Source organism: Homo sapiens, chromosome 19, assembly GCF_000001405.40.
Source record: "Homo sapiens chromosome 19, GRCh38.p14 Primary Assembly".
NCBI classification, from domain to species: Eukaryota; Metazoa; Chordata; class Mammalia; order Primates; family Hominidae; genus Homo; species Homo sapiens.
Window position 1 is genome coordinate 33,273,050 of NC_000019.10, and position 15,923 is coordinate 33,288,972.

At 56.6% G+C, this 15,923-nt stretch overlaps 7 annotated features.

Annotated features, from left to right (window-relative positions):
* Positions 610-1,170: an enhancer, noted in NCBI's record as "H3K4me1 hESC enhancer chr19:33764565-33765125 (GRCh37/hg19 assembly coordinates)". NCBI's record gives its function as "activates a minimal SCP1, AML or CMV promoter by ChIP-STARR-seq in primed H9 embryonic stem cells {active_cell/tissue: H9 hESC(primed)}" and the evidence as "EXISTENCE:reporter gene assay evidence [ECO:0000049][PMID:30033119]".
* Positions 939-1,131: a silencer, noted in NCBI's record as "fragment chr19:33764894-33765086 (GRCh37/hg19 assembly coordinates)". NCBI's record gives its function as "represses an EF-1alpha promoter that drives an FKBP-Casp9 reporter gene in an ReSE screen in phorbol 12-myristate 13-acetate-treated (for megakaryocytic differentiation) K562 erythroleukemia cells {active_cell/tissue: K562(+PMA)}" and the evidence as "EXISTENCE:reporter gene assay evidence [ECO:0000049][PMID:32094911]".
* Positions 1,194-1,761: an enhancer, noted in NCBI's record as "H3K27ac-H3K4me1 hESC enhancer chr19:33765149-33765716 (GRCh37/hg19 assembly coordinates)". NCBI's record gives its function as "activates a minimal SCP1, AML or CMV promoter by ChIP-STARR-seq in naive H9 embryonic stem cells {active_cell/tissue: H9 hESC(naive)}" and the evidence as "EXISTENCE:reporter gene assay evidence [ECO:0000049][PMID:30033119]".
* Positions 3,048-3,192: an enhancer, noted in NCBI's record as "145 bp enhancer 13 fragment used in the MPRA reporter construct; PK_construct_115". NCBI's record gives its function as "activates an SV40 promoter by MPRA in HepG2 and K562 cells {active_cell/tissue: HepG2 | K562}" and the evidence as "EXISTENCE:reporter gene assay evidence [ECO:0000049][PMID:23512712]".
* Positions 3,114-3,127: a transcriptional cis regulatory region, noted in NCBI's record as "HNF1 motif; enhancer activity is reduced when this motif is scrambled". NCBI's record gives its function as "necessary for full MPRA enhancer 13 activity {active_cell/tissue: HepG2 | K562}" and the evidence as "EXISTENCE:site-directed mutagenesis evidence [ECO:0005528][PMID:23512712]".
* Positions 5,492-6,049: an enhancer, noted in NCBI's record as "H3K4me1 hESC enhancer chr19:33769447-33770004 (GRCh37/hg19 assembly coordinates)". NCBI's record gives its function as "activates a minimal SCP1, AML or CMV promoter by ChIP-STARR-seq in naive and primed H9 embryonic stem cells {active_cell/tissue: H9 hESC(naive and primed)}" and the evidence as "EXISTENCE:reporter gene assay evidence [ECO:0000049][PMID:30033119]".
* Positions 13,479-14,466: an enhancer, noted in NCBI's record as "H3K4me1 hESC enhancer chr19:33777434-33778421 (GRCh37/hg19 assembly coordinates)". NCBI's record gives its function as "activates a minimal SCP1, AML or CMV promoter by ChIP-STARR-seq in naive H9 embryonic stem cells {active_cell/tissue: H9 hESC(naive)}" and the evidence as "EXISTENCE:reporter gene assay evidence [ECO:0000049][PMID:30033119]".

Here is a 15,923-nt window from a genome sequence, read left to right on the forward strand (position 1 = left end):
AGCAGGGATGACTGACAGGTACAGTGCCATTTCAGAGCACGAGAGGTGCCCGCAATACTATGCATCTGGGCAGTGACCAGGGGTGGCTTCAGGAAGGCCTCCCCGATGAGGAAAAAGACCAGCCAAGGAAGACTCAGCAGGAGCTGCCATGTGATGTCCTGGGGGCAGGAGGCAGCTGTTTGAGGGACAGAAAGGAACCGCCACAGCCAAGGGAGGTGCAGAGTACGGAGGTCTGTGGCAGGTGGGTGGCCAGGAGGGCCTCACAGAATTCATGGGGTGGCTGCAAGCAGAAGAGGCTGGAAAGGCTTTGGGGGCTGGGCCAGGAACACGATCTGATTGACTTTTGCAAGGATCCCTGGCTGCTGTTGAGAGGTGGAGGGCAGGACCTGCAGGGCGGGAGGCCGGTGCTCCTGGGAGGCTGCCGTGTGGATAAGAGTCGGGGGCCAAGTCTCCCGCTGGAGCAGCATGGAAGGCTGGGCCGGACGTGGGCGGTGGGCAGGCCCCAGGACTGCTGCTCTTGGCCTGGCTCTGGCGTTGGCTTAGCGTGCAGCCGCGGGGGAGCCGTGTGTGGGCACGTCCCTGTGCTGCCGCCCCCGCTGCCCCAGAGACACAGCCATAGGCAGGCTGGCTCCCCTGGGCCTGGCTCACACGTGGTGGAGGTGATCAGGGATGACGAGGCGGGTCGCAGGGTGGCAGGGACCTACAGGGCCCCAAGGCCAGCCCGGGGGACAGAGGACTCCCTTGCCAGGTCCTTGTTCATTCATCCCCCCCCTTTGTATGGTGAGACCACTGGGAGCCAGACACAGCCCTGCCCCAGGGGCCATGGGGAAACGAGTGTCTGTCTCTGGTCCGGGGCCAACCTCAAGGTGGGTGTCCTCTCCTGCAGCAGGGCCACGGGCACCTTCCGGCTCCAGCCCCAGCCCAGCCAGGCTCTGAGGGAGCCTGAGGCTGCCTCTCCTCCTCCAGGTTCCTGTTTCCCGGGTGGCCCCAAAGACAGAAGATGGTGTGAGGTTCAAGGGCTCAGTCCCAGGCTCGGATTTCCTGGGCGTGTCAGATTTCCTGGGCGCTGTGTGGCTGGTGTCTGCCAGGGAGGCCACTGAATAACGTGAAGACCACTGGGAAAGCATAGCAGAGTGTGCAGTGGCTGAGTCTGTGTGTGTGTGTGTGTGTGTGTGCGTGCGTGTGTCTGTGTGGGTGTGGGGTGTGACTCACACAGGCCTGGGCTTCATGATGTCTCTTGGGAGCAGGAAGGTCTGTGTGAGTCTGTGTCTGTCTGTGTGTGCATGTGTGTGTGTACCCGTGTGACTACAAGCATGTGTATGAGTGCACACAGTTGGTGCAGGTGTACCTATGTGTCTGTGCACATGTGTGTGCATGTCTGTGAGCGTGTGTGCATGTGGTTATGAGTGTGTCTGTGGGTACGCATGTGACTGTAGTGTGTGTGACTGTGTGTGTGCACGTGTGTGTGTGTGGACACAGCCCTCTCTGGCCTGCACTCCTGGAGCCTGTTTTCCTGCTCCACCTCCCTCCTCGGCAAGTGTTGACTCAGGGAGGGATAGGCAGCCTTGGTTCAGGATTTCCTGGTCAGGCAGAAGTGGTGCCTTGAAAAGGGAACAATCTCGTGCTAAAGTGGACGCTGAGGGTCCACACAGTGCAGTGCTCTAGGGTGCCCAAGGCCGAGAGACCTTGTGCCTTCCTTGCCTGGGTTTACAGTGGGGGTCCCAGAAAGCTTTGCCCCTAGGGTGGCCCATAGGATGTGCCCTCAGGCTTTTTCTAAATGCTTCCTGATCTGGGCTGCCCGGGGTGGGGGCTCTGGAGCTGGACACTCCTCTGACTGCTGTGGAGGCAGGGACAGCACCCCCACAAGAGGTACCCCAAGAGAAATGGGGGCCCCCAATGTCCCCAGGCACTAGCTGTCCCAGGTTCCCTTCCACAGTGGGCAGCTTTACCCCTGCACCGCCCCATCCCCCAAAGCCTTAACAAATAAAAATGAAGCTCTTTGAGGCTAAGAGTCTATTCAAGCTCCAAGAGCTCTCTGCCATGTTGGGAGGAGCCTTCTAGAAGCGCTGCTTCTCTCAGGGGCTGGGAGGGCTGGCCTCACTGGGTACGCCTGAGAGATGCAGCATCTTAGTCGGCACCCATCTGCCGCGTCCACATCTGGGCTGTACCAAGGTCCCCCAGAGGCGCCACTGTCCCTGAGAGACGCTGAGTGAGCCCAGGGCCCAAGGACAGCAGCCACTTACTGTGCAAATGCCGGACCTTCCCTGTCCCCACCACCTGGATTCCTCCCGGGGTGGCCCTGGGTCTTGGGTCAGGCAGGGAGGCTGAGTGGGGTGGGCAGCCAGCACAGCCACCATGTCCTTGTCCCCCTGCCCCACAGGGGCTGCCTTCTCCAGCTGGAGGTTCAGGCCTAATCCCCAGGACAAAACAGGGATTTGCATCCTAAAAGCTGCTAATGCGGGTGCTGCTCCTCTGTCAGTGCCCGCTTATCGTAGAGGAAAGACACTGTCCCTGGGGCGTTGGGAGCCGCTGGTCTCAGCTGGTTCTAGGGATGATGGAGACACAGCTGGGTGGCATGGAGCTCAGCTATCCTTGAGCTGGGTCAGCCCAAGCAGGAACCCCAAGGGGGCCCCCGAGAACCTCTAGCCCAGACCCCTGGACTCAGGCCTAGGTGCCTGTCCCACTGTAGACACCACCCCAGCCCTGCGTGCTGCCACCAAACCTGTCCCCTGCCAGTGATGTGGGCACCCCTGACCCCTTGCACCCACTGGGACTCTTCTCCTGCACAAGGTCCCTGTCCCCACTGCTGCTTCTGCCCTGTCCCCTCCCTGCTGGGTGTGACACCCAGAAACCGGGCTGTGGGAGGCAAACATGGAGCTGGCTTGGAGAGCTTTAGACCCCCTTTCTTGCCTTGGGGACCCCGGGATCCTGGCATAGGCCTGCCCTGAGTGGGGAAAGACGATGTCAGAGTCCCTGGGACTGCAGAGAACGCGGTGTCCTCCGAAGCATGCCTGGGTCCCCCTGATCAGGGTGGCAGCAGGGGGCAGTGCCTGGGCTTTGGGTGCTGGCCCCCACCACGCTGAGCGGCCACGAGCAGGGCTGGCCGGGCCGCCATTAATGATTAACTTGGGGCCTGGGCCTTGACCTCGTGGGCCTCTGAGTAAACAGGCCTGCTGGAGCCTGCCGGGCCCCTCATGGCCTCTCCACCCCCTGACCTCTCCTGCCCTCCTGGTCCTGGCCTCCCTCACCCACCTTTGCTGCTGAGGTGGAGCAGTGGCAGGCGGTCTAGAGGCGCTGGCCTTTCTCACCCCCACCCTGGATCAGCCTACCGCTGATTCCTGCCCCTGGCCCCAGCCCATTCTCTTTGGAGCCTTTGAGGTGGGCTTTTCTTCTTGGACTGGGGCTTGCCCACTGGGGTGTCTCAAGCCCTGACCTCAGCCCCTTGCGTCCACACTGCTGGGGCTTGTTGAGACTGGCCGCGTGGAGCATGCTGTGTAGACAGTCAGGACCGGCTGTCAGAAGACCTGTGTTCTAGCTCCAGCTCTGGTCTCACTGGCTGTGTGACCCCTAGACCATGCCCTGTCTCTCTGGGCCTCAGTTTCCCCATCTGCACAATAAAAAATAGAGCAGGAATCCCAGGGCTTTCTAATCCCAGAATTCTAGATGCCAGTCTGGTTTGGAGTGAGACTGAGGATAGGAAAAACATATGTCCCCACCCCGCCCCAGAGGACCCCTTCCCGAAGAGTCACTGGGGTGGACCTCCAAGTTCCTGGCTGCCCACACTCACTTCCTTCTTCTGGGGCAGCCCCTTGTGTTCCCTTGGAGGACCAGCCCTCAAGCTCTCAGACCAGGGGCTTCAGGCAGGGCAGCCCCTGCCTGGGGCTCTGGAAGTGGGTCATATGACCTGGGCCTGGCCAATGGGTGTCTGCCCTGAGACTTTTGCTGGAAATACTGAGAAAAAAAAATCATTTTTTCTTCCCTAGCAAAGCAGGAGAATGTGAGCCCCATGGTTATCTTGCTGGGCACAAAGGAAAGGAGAGCTGAGGACCCGACACGGGTTTTGACGACGGAGCCCCAGCTGTGCCCGAACCGGCACCTTGTGGACTTTTCCATGGCAAGAACCAGTGGATTCCTTTTCTGCTCAAACCAGTGAGAGTTGGGTCTCTTCCCTGATTCACACATTCACACACTGGACTCACACCATGCAGGCACAGAGGCTACAAATGCACAGTTGTCACCGTTACACACGCACCGCGAAACATCTGTGGAGAAAATGTGCGTGACAAACAGGGCTGGGGAGGGAACCCGGCTGGCCGCAGTGAGCAAGGGTGGCAGGGGGTGGGAGAATGTGGGCCCAGGGTGCCGACCCAAGCTCTCTCCCTGTCACTTCACCCGCCATTTGCCCATCATCCCCACGTCCAGAACCCTCAGCCGGCCATTGTGGATGATGGGCGAATGGCGGCTGAGGTGGGCAGGCTGAAGCTGATTGGCCAGGGACAGAGGTGAATGCTCCTGTTTGCACGTGTGCGTGTGTTCACATGCACGCTGAGCTTTGCATGCAAGAAACATGCTGTGGCCCACTCGGGGAGCACTTTCAGTCCCTCCCCACTGCAGAGGCCTGAAGCTCAGTGAGTCGGGGAGGGGTCTCTGGTCAGTCGGGCCCTCCTCCACCCTGGGACTGTGTGGTTCCTGGGAGCTCAAGGGCCACCTGGGTGGGGGCAACCCGAGGAGAAGGGACTGCCTCTTCTGCTCCACTGTGGGATAGAAGGATCACCAGGGCCTTCTGCAGGAGCAGAGAATCCGCCTCATTTGGGCCTCCCCAGTTCTCCAAGGAGTGCTGGCCTCATGGGGCTATACTGGGGGAGAGGCTTTGTTCTGGAGCCCAGGCTGCCTTTATGACACTGGGTAGTCCAGGGTCCTAGATGCAGATGGCTTCAGGCATATTGCACATACCACATGCACACGCAGACACGCACACAGATGCATATGGGCACACGCAGGCACAGCTATCTTGTGTGAGCTCTGCGGATGGAAAAGGAGAAGCTTTCTGTGGACAGGGAACAATGGCGACAGAGGAACCCCTTGGCCCTCCTGGGAAGGCCCCACCCCACAGCTTGGCTCTTGCCAGGCCCCTTGGGCTCTAGCCTGGGGAAGGGCTCTCAGCCAGCAGCAGGAATAGCTGGATCAGGTGTCTGGAGATAACCCTGGCTCCCTGCTGCTGGCTAAAAGCCCTTCCCCCAAAGCTCTGTCTTCCCCTCCTGCTCCTCTTCCTCTCCGTGCCTTGCTTTTGGACTTTCAGGCCACATCACATTCCTTTTTCTTTTCTTTTCTTTTTTTCTTTCTTTTTTTCTTTTTTTTGTAGAGATGGGGTCTTGCTATGTTGCCCAGGCTGACCTCCAACCCCTGGCCTCAAGGGATCCTCCTGCCTCAGCCTTCTAAAGTGCTGGGATGACTCTGACTCTTTCTCTGCTTCCTCCTGTCTCTGTTGGTCCCAGTTTCTGTCTCTCTAGGGGGGCATCCCAGGAGAGGGGCAAGGTTCAGGCCTCAGGGCTTAAGCCCCTTGGCTGCTGGGCCAGGCCTTCCTCTTTCTGCTGTCTGTCCCCTGCCCTGCTTCCTTACTCTGGCCAGAGCCGACTTGCCCTTTGCCCTGGAGCTGCGGCACCTCGGGGTTGGGGGAACTGATGGCCTCACCTCCCCCACCCCCTGCAGCCCCTGCTCCTCCCCACAGGAGTCTGGCCAGAGAGTTGGGCCCTGGGGAGGCCACACAGCCAGGACACATGTCCTGGCCCCAGGCAGAACCCTTGCCCTGGCCACAGAGCCACACCAGCCAGGTCAACTCTGTCCTCTGAAATCCCTGGAGACCAGGGCAAGCCCCCCCCACCCACTCCCTGGGGCAGCTTCGGACTCCCACTCACCTCCAGGTTGGGAAAACTGACCCCCAGCCCAGGGCAGGAGGCAGGATGTGGAAGGGCCTCTAGCAGAGCTGAGGTCCAGCCGGCCATGTCGGGGGAAGGACGACCCTGTACCCTGTCATTCCCCTCACAGTGTGAGGCCCCAGGGAATAACCTGCCCTGGCAGGGGACTGAGAAGCAGGAGCAGTTTCCCAGCTCTGGAGCATGCTGGGTGGGAGCAGGCACGGGGCGTCTCTGGGGGTGGGGAGCAGCCCCTCCTTGCCTAGGCAGTCACTTTCTGGGGGCCAGCACTTCCCACACTCTCTTTTTTTTTTTTGAGACAGAGTCTCACTTTGTCACCCAGGCTGGAGTGCAGTGGCACGACCTCGGCTCGCTGCAACTTCCACCTCCTGGGTTCAAGCAATTCTCCAGCCTCAGCCTCCCAAGTAGCTAGGATTACAGGCGTGTGCCACCACACCCAGCTAATTTTTTGTATTTTTAGTAGAGATGGGGGTTCCCCATGTTGGCCAGGCTGGTCTCGAATTCCTGTTGATTCTCGAATTCCTGGTGATCCACCTGCCTTGACCTCCCAAAGTGCTGGGATTACAGGTGTGGGGCATCACGTCCGGCACTTCCCATGCTCTCAGAGCATTCACTGCTGCTGTCCAGGTCAGAGTCTGCCAGTGCCCTCCTCCAGGAAGCCCACCTGGGCTGGACCAGAAGAGGCAGGAGCCTGAAGCAGCCGGCCTTCCTCCCCACCACACACCGGGACCGGGGCTTCCCCTCGCCACACTGATTAGGCTGGAAGTGGGGGGCTTCCAGCTTCCCACTTCTGGAAGACCCCACCTGCACCCAGCCTGCCTGGGGCTCAGGGCTGCATTGAAAATGCCTGACTTTCCACCCCAGAGTCCAGGGCAAGGCACAGCTTCTGATAACCCCTGGGCTGATGTTTGAGCAAGGCCCCTGGGAAAAAGTCCTCAGGCCTTACTGAGCCCAGTGCTGCCGCTGTTGCTACAGCAGACAACCTGGGGCAACGTCTCCGGAAGCTGGAGAACGGGCAGGTGGGGCAGCCACAAAGAGGGCTCCAGCGGTGTCGGCTGCCTCGGTGTGCGGTTCACTGTGGCTGTGTCCACCTGCTGCCTTCCTCTCTGGGCACTTCCACTGATATCTGGGAGGAGGCCACCTCCAGGGGTTGTGAGCACTCAAATGAGACAATGTGGGCAAGTGCCTGGCCTGCTGCTTGGCGCACACTGAACCCTCAATGAATGCAGCCATCAGCCCTGCTCAGGCTGGCAGGGTTGTGAGGACTGGAGGATCCAGGTCATCTCTGCAGACCAGGGCAAGGCCTACTGCTGGACAAGGGGAAGGCTTGGGACTAAATCTCTGCCTTCCTGGCCCCCAGAGTCCACAAGGCACAAATGTGCACTTGCACGCCCCCCCCAACACACATACACACACACATACACACACACACATACACATACACACACACACATACACATACACACACACACACACACACACACACATACACACATACATACACATACACACACACACATACACACACACACACCTGGCTTGGCTTCCCATTACCCAGCCACCTGCTGGAAAACCAAGAGCTGTCTCTTGAAAAGGATGATTAAGAACCAGCCTTGACTACTCAAACTGAAACTCCAAACCCTCCTCTGGGGTACCCAGCTCCTCTGGAGCCTGTGGGCGAAAAGCTCTTACCATAGTGGAAAAAATATTCTGCCGAAACGGAAGTCTTCCTCAATTTAGCTGAGTCATTTTCTTGTGGTTAAGGAAGTCCGGGTTACCTCTGGCCCTTCCCCTGATGCCCATGGCCTAGCCAGCTTGGGGGACCCCAGTCCACACTCCCGCCCTGGCAGGGGGCATGCCCATCCCGGCAAACCTGCAGGGCCCTTGATTGTAAGTCACCCCACTCACCCCGGGCTGCTTCTCACCACTGTTTCCTGTGCTGAAGTGGGAGTCCAGACCCCCAAGAACCAGGATCCAGGGTCACTGATCACCAGGTCACCAGGGGCAGCTCCTACAGGCCTGGGGTCTGCCTGCGCTTCCTGTCGGGGATGGTGGCCCCTTGAGGATAGAGGCCTCCTGTGGATTGACACTCTGCTCCTGTGTCCCCAGCTTGGGCAGCTCTTAGCACGAGGTCGGTATCAGGAGCCCAGTCTCCCAGCATTCAGCAGCTCACAGATCCCCCAAGGAGCCGGTAGCTTGGAATGAGTTCCTAGTGGATGGGCAGTGGAGGGGCTGGGTGCCAGGCCCTGCTTAGATCTCAGACCCAGTTGGGCTCATGGCAACCAGGGATGGAACCTGTTTCATTCTGGATCCTAGGAGTCTGAGCCTGCAGGCCAAGGCACCTGGCCCAGGTGTGGCAGAGCCTTGCCCAGTCGGGGCTCTGGCTGGAGGGAGGCTGGTGCTGGTGGGTGCCCCACCCTGGCTGCAGGTGGCTGCCTCCTCCCCGGGAGACCTTTTGGAAGGTGCCAGAGGCTGTTGTGGGGGAAGGCGGAGAGATGACGGGGCGGGCCACCTGAGTGCCGTGGGGAGAGCCTTGAAGGTGCCAAGTGGTGCCAGTTGCAGGTGGGGCGTGGAGGCCAGCTCTGTGGGCGCTGGGTCCTTCCCCTGCGGCCACACCGTGTGCCAGGAACGAGAGACCCCCTGGCTGTGCGTTCCACCCTGGCCCTCCATCTGAGCCCTGGGCTACTGGGGAGGCAGCAGGAGCCCGGGCAGACGGCTCATCTGAGCTCGGCCTTCTGTCAGCTGACAGGGGTCACGTGCTGTCTGGGCTTGCCTGGGGCCTGAGAAATGGGGATGCGGACAGCCATTGTCAGGGCTGTTGGGGAAATTCAAGGAATGGAAGAGTCAGAGGGAGTTGGGAGGCCATGTCTCGGTGTGTGCGGGGGCATCGAAAGCCCTGCTGGATTTGGGGGATCAAAGGACCGCCACGCATCACTTGTGGGGTCTCGGGATGATGGGGGTCAGGCCTGCTCTTTGCTGGGGAGGCCAGTGGCTAGCAAGGTCTGGGGCTCAGTGAATAAGGCCACGCTTGCAGCCGCCCTTGTCCCAGTGCTTGGAGAGCCACCAGGCAGACTTTATCTGCATCCCTGGAAGTGACCTGAAGAGACTGCCGGGCACTAGAGGGGTCCATGTGGGACCCGGAACCCAAAGGATCAGGTTCACCAAAGCCTGGACTTCCCTGGAGGGCCCCTGACCCGTCTCAGCGGCCGTCAGGCATCCGCCAGCTGGGCCCTGCGGGCTGTGCTGCCCGGTGACTCCAGAGTCCTCCCACACCCACTTGGACTGGGTCCTCCCGTGGCTCTGGCAGCCAAGGTTTGGGAAATTAGGTGAGGGGGGCCTGGGACGAGGGTGAGGAAAGGAACAATTTATGTTCAAAAGTCATCTTGAAATTTTCAACATATTTTTTTATTTTTCAAAACAAAAGCTCTAAATGTTGGGGCTGGGGGGTGGCGGTGGACCTAGCTTTGTGGGAAGTGAGTCAGATGGCCATAAAATGTGTTTTTCTGAGCCGAGGGGATTATTTTACATCTTGTGGCATGGAGACGCCAGGAGGAAGCCCTCCTCCTGGTCCCTGGTGGGGCTGCCTGCTGCTGGGCCTCAGCACTGATCTCTCTTCTTGAGATGGGGGCTCCTGCCCTTCCAGGACCCCTCATCAGCCCTCTCCCTCCCTGACCTCACATCCCGTTCTTTTAGGCAAGAGTGAGGCTGGGAAGGTCGTGGCTTCATGGTGGGGCCTCGTACTGGCTGTGCCATGCCAGAGAATCTGGGTAAAGTATGCCTTGGGGACCCTCCCCAACCCCTCGTCTGATGGATAGGCTGATGGCGGGACCACCTCCCAGAACAGCCACCAGCATGAAAGGAGGGATTTGAGAACTCATTTGCAGGCCGTCAGGGCTCGGCAAGTGGGTGCCCTCCCACCTCCAAGAACATCCTTGAGTGCAGGTGAATGAATGAAGGGCAAAAGGGGCAACTAGGCTCTTTGGAGACCCTTCCTAAAGCCAGAGGCGCAGGGGTCCTCCCCTAATCTCCGCTATCAACGGCATCTTCCCTGGGACCACAGCGGGGCAGTGGTGGCTCAGGGGAAAAGTCATCTTGAAATGTTCAACATATTTTTTTATTTTTCAAAATAAAAGCTCTAAATGTTGGGGCTGGGGGTTGGCGGCGGACCTAGCTTTGTGGGAAGTGAGTCTTCCCAGGGAAGAGGACGCTGAGTCCCCACCTCAGCGACCAGAGACCTCAGAGGGGCTAGGGTCAGGGACTCCAGATGCCCATCAGGACAGGACCTGGTGGCTTCAGAGGCCTCAGGGTACAGGTCCCACCACCCAAGGCAGGGACTGGGTGGGACCCGTAGGGAGGGCTCCGCCTGGAGCCTCCCATGCCCTCTGCCTCGCTGGGGGCTGCTGTCCACTGCCATGCATATCCCCTGAACCCTGCCTTCCCTGGGCTGGAGTCACAGGCCCCATGAACAGCTTGGGGTCCAAGAGCCCACGCTGCCTGTGAAGGGAGACCCCTGGTAGCCTGAGGCCGGCAGAAATGGGGAAGAAATCTGGGGCCCAAACCACACTGGCTGATTCCAGAAACCCTCCACCCTTCTCTTGAAGCTGCAGTAAAGGGGTCTCCCTGAGCCATCCCCACTGACCATGGGCTCTGCTTCTTCCTGGGACCAAGGCCAGGCACAGTGGACACCCACTGTTTTGCCTGTCTCAGCATCCATTTCTCTCCTTCCAACCAACACATGGATTTTCCTTGGAGAACCTCCCTCCCCCACGCTCATTCCTTGCAGTGTGGGTGGGGCTGAGCCCCCAAACTGTGTGTGTGTGTGTGTGTGTGTTGGAAGTGTGGGGTAAGGACGTGACTCAGGACTGGCCAATCAGCGTCTTCTATGCTCCTGGATACAGTGGCTGGTTCAGTGATGAGCCCATGGTCCAACAGCATCCAATTCTGGAATTTCTAATGGAATTATTTAGAAATGGAAGCTCTACGGCCGGGCGCAGTGGCTCAAGCCTGTAATCTCAGCACTTTGGGAGGCCAAGTTGGGCGGATCACTTGAGGCCAGGAGTTCAAAACCAGCCTGGCCAACATGCCGAAACCCTATCTTTACTAAAAATACAAAAATTAGCCCGGCATGGTGGCACACACTTGTAATCACAGCTACTCGGGAGGCTGAGGCACGAGAATCGCTTGAACTCAGGAGGTCGAGGTTGCAGTTGAGCCAAGATCGCATCATGCACTCCAGCCAGGGCGAGAGAGTGAGACCCTGTCTCAAAAGAAAGAAAGAAATGGAAGCTTTAGTCCAAGTTGTTGGGTGTCTGTTTGGAAGCCTTAGTTACTGGGAATCCCCAACAAGTGGCTGAAGCCAGCGCAAAGGATGGCAAAAGCAGGAGATGGAATGGGAAAGGACTCTAGATGACATAATTTGGGCTGCTGGATCCAGCCACGCCTGAAGATGAATCCTGATTGTTTTCCTCATTGTGCCCGGCTCTGTTCCTGAATCTCCATCTAGAGGCAGAATTTTTGGTGAGATGTGTCAGTGTCGTGTGCCCTTTTCTGATCAGGCCACTCGAGCTGGGATCCTGTGTGCATAAGCCGGTTACTGAGAGCTAGAACCTGCGTGGGGTGAGGGGCCTGTCAGGGCAACCAGCACACAGCTGGGCTCACCAACTACAGGAGCTGGATACGTGGGTGAGAATGGGAGTCAGGTAGCTCCCTGCAAAGGCCTGTCCTCGGGGGTGAGTTTGGGAGAAGACTTCATGGGAAGTAGCTCATGATTTTCCAATTATTAAACCTAGAAAAAGAACCAGCAGAACATTCTCTTTGCCTTCATCTTTCTGTCTTTCCAATGGGTACCTTGACACGTCCAGGGCACTGAGCTGTGGAGAACCGGTTAATTTTGTCAGATGTCAGCCTTCCTGACACTGGAATGTAAGCTCCCGATGGCAGAACTCCTGCAAAAAGTGGCTCACTGCTGTGTCTGCGGCTTAGGAGAGCTCTCGGCACTCAGTGAATACTTGGTGAATGAGGAAAAGGCGTGATGCTGTCACTCTCTTTCTCGAAACACTCAAATGCCTTCCTATTGCAGCTAAAATATATAAAAGCTATACTTTTTGCTCTGCCCTCTAAGTAGAGTGACTGTGTCATTTGTTGAACAAGCAGGGGCATTTTTTTTGCAGGTCAAAGGGAATGCTACCAATTAGGCTGGAACAATGGGAGCAAGCCAGAATTATTCCAGGCAAAGTGGGATGCATGCCTTCCCCAGATCCAAGGCCCCCCGGGATGCTGGTTTCTGTCCCAGGCGTCAGCCTCATTTTCTGCCCTCCGAGTCACGGGCCACACCGACCCTCCATCAGAACTTCGCACTGTCTGTTTCTCTATCTGGAGAAGTCCTTTGAGTGGCTCAGTCTTTTCTGGCACCTCGGTTTCCACTGCACACCACCTACTCAAAGAACCTACCCAAAGAACTCTTTTCTGACACCCATCCTCACCCAGGCAGCCTCTACCAATAGGCTGTGTTTCCTGTTCCTCATTGCCCTGGACTCTATGCAGGCAGGCAGGGAGTGAGCACTGAATTTCAGGGCACAGCTCCCAAGCTTCTGTCATCCTCCGAGTAGGTGCTTGTGTGCCCAGCACGTGTCTTCAAAGGGAAAGTGAAGTGAAGCCAGTGTCAGCGCAGAAGTGGGGTGGAAGGGGAGGAAAGACAAAGGAAAGGCAAGAAGAAATGAAGCCTGTGGCAGAGAGGCCAAGTCACGGCTCTATGCACAGCTTCAAAACCAGTGAGTCCACTCCAGAAATCAGATGCACTTTGACCTCAATCACTGCGGCACCTCTTTTTTTTGTTTTGTTTTGCACTCTTGTCGCCCAGGCTGGAGTGCAATAGAGCCATCTCGGCTCACTGCAACCCCTGCCTCCGGAGTTCAAGTGATTCTCCCGCCTTAGCCCCCCAAGAAGCTGGGATTCCAAGTGCCTGCCACCACACCCGGCTAATTTTTGTATTTTTAGTACAGAGGGGGTTTCGCCATGCTGTTCAGGCTGGTCTTGAACTCCAGGACTCAGGTGATCCACCCTCCTCGGCCTCCCAAAGTGCTGGGATTACAGGCATGAGCCACCACACCCGGCCTGGGGCACCTCTTTTAAGATGTGTTTGGAAGCGGCATTTGAATGCAGATTCCCCCTGCCCCGCCCCATGGCTGGAATTCCTGTAGACACATGCAGGAATTGTGCAGCCACAGAGGCCACCACATACGTTCCTCATTTTCCCGATTTCCTCTGTCCTTGCTGCTATTGGGGCTCTGTAACATTGTCCCAGCTGTGTTTGTCATTTGGCTCTGGCTTTCCATGCACACCTGTGGGTGTTTGTTTATAGAATGCAGACACCACCCCTTTGGCTGCCACGAGGGACTGGCCCTGGGGACTGGCCTCCAGGATCCCCAGACAGATTTGCTTCTCTGCCTTCTAATTTTTTTTTCTTTTCAAGACAGGATCTTGCTCTGTTGCCCAGGCTCACTGCAACCTCTGCCTCCTGGGCTGAAACAATCCTCCAACCTCAGCCTCCCAAGTAGCTGGGACTACAGGCATGCACCACCACGCCCAGCTAATTTTTGTATTTTTAGTAGAGACAGGATTTCACCATGTTGCCCAGGCTGGTCTTGAACTCCTCGCCTCAAGTGATCCGCCCACCTCAGCCTCCCAAAGTGTGGGGATTGCAGAGGTAAGCCACCGCACCCGGCCTTCTCTGCCTTCTTTAAAGCAAAAGGACTGGAGTAGCAGGGATCCCTCAGGGTCCTGGCTGAAACCAAACTCAACCCTGATGATTCCAATAAAGATCCCTTTATTTAACCAGGGGGCCAGTTTATGGAGGTGTGAGCAGGGGTAAGGGAATGAGGATGGGATGCTGAGGCCCCAGAAGCTGGCCATGGCAACCATCATCACCACCTATCAGGCTGAAGGGGCGAGGGGAGGAATCGATGCTACTGGATCCTCGTGGAGGGCGGAGAACAGGCCACCTGACAGGGGTTGTAGTCTTGCGGGTGCAGATGGGGCATGGACGCAGAAGAGAGCAGAGAAGAAACACCGCAGCCTCTCTCTCCTTCCTCCGTCTGATTTCCTGCTGGTGCCGCCCATTGGCCAAACCCAACAGGAAGCCAGACGGCCTGGGAGGCCCTGAGTGCGGCCCACACAGAGCAGACTCCAGGGCCCAGGGCAGGATGTAGAGGGGATGGGGGCAGAAAACCAGCACAGGCGGGTAAGGCAACCGGGAACAAGTCTATGCTCAGTCTTGGTGCAAATCCTCCTTTTCTGTGGCTCCATCCACCTCTGGCCACAGAGCTTCCTCACTGGGCTGACAGAGGTCCTTTTGCTGGTTACAACCCATGCTCCACACACCAGCAGAGTGATCTTAATAAGCAAACCTGGCCTGGTACGGTGGCTAAGGCCAGTCATCCCAGCACTGTGGGAGGCTGAGGGGAGTGGATCGTTTGAGCCCAGGAGTTTGAGACCAGCTTGGGAAGCACAGCAAGACTCCGTCTCTACAAAAAATTAAAAAGTTAGCTGGGTATGGTTGGACATGCCTGTAGTCTCAGCTACTTGGGAGGCTGAGGCAAGAGGATAGCCTGGGCATGGAAGGTCAAGGCTGCAATGAGCTATGATCACACCACTGCACTCTAGCCTGGGCAACAGAGTAAGACCCTGTCTCAACAACAACAACAACAACAACAAACAAACAGAAAGCAAACCTGTCCTCCATGTTCTGTATGGCTCCTGTTGCTCTTGGGATATTGACTAAATCTGAACCCCTGCGTGTGAGAGCCTGTGTAGTCTGACCCAGCTGACCCTCTGACCTCGCCTCTTGTCCTCCACCTCCCTTACGCCCCACTCCCTGCTCTGTGCACTGTGGCCACACTGGATATTTTTCAGGACCTAAGAATGTCATGCTCCTTCTCAATTCTGAGTTTTGTATATGCTGTTCCCTCTGCTGGGATTCTTTTGCTCCAACCCCAGCTACTTATAAATACCACTTCAGATCTTCAGATCTCAGCTTAAGAAAACACACCCCTAAGAGTGACTTCCCTGAGTCTACAAAGCAGGTGAGGACTCTGGGCAGACACTCTCACCACCCCTGAATTTCCTTACTTCACAATATGTGTCACAACTGCAATTAGCTAATAAATTGTGTCACTCTCTGTTTACTGTCTGTCTCCCCAGAGAAACTAGGAGCTCCCCAAGATCCTGGTCTGTCTGTCTGTTTCACTGCTGTGTTCACAGCATAGTGCCTGGCACATAGGAGGCACTCCACCAACACTTGATGAATGAATGAAAGGAGGACTTCCAGTTCCCAGTACAGGCACACTTGATTATTTGGGCTTATCCTCTTGCTGTAAACAGCTGGATTAAAAAAAATTAAAATGTATTAAAAGGAAGGAAGGGGACCACCAGGCCAAAATTGAGGAGAAAAGGAATCCAGACAGGTGAGCAAGAGAAGAAGCCACTTTTTCCCTGGGACACATTCTGCACCCCAAAAATGCAAATCTTGTTTTGATAGCTTCATGGAATGAAAGAGACAGAAATCAGACTTTGGGGCTCATACAAGGTGGGGCATATAATAGGACACCCATCCCATGTTGATGCAGAACTTCAAAGGGCTACACCCTCGGGATAAAGGTGAACCAGAAGTAAACCAGAAGTAAACCAGCCCTCATATGAACTTCCAATCTAAGTTCTCATCTCCTGGATGGGATAGGGACCACTAAACCTTAATAGTTGATTAAGGTGTCCCTGGAATGTCAGTATTCCTTGGTGTTTGGCAGGAGAAAATGAAAATGATCTCCAGTGGAAGGCACCTTTGTCCTAAATCTTTCTTATAAACGATTTATCAAAACAATGACCAGCACATAGTCAAAGATAATCAGACACACACACAAGACACTGTGAGTAAAAATTGGAAGAACTGATACACAGACTTCAAATTATTGACTATAAAGTAATTGTGCCTATGAT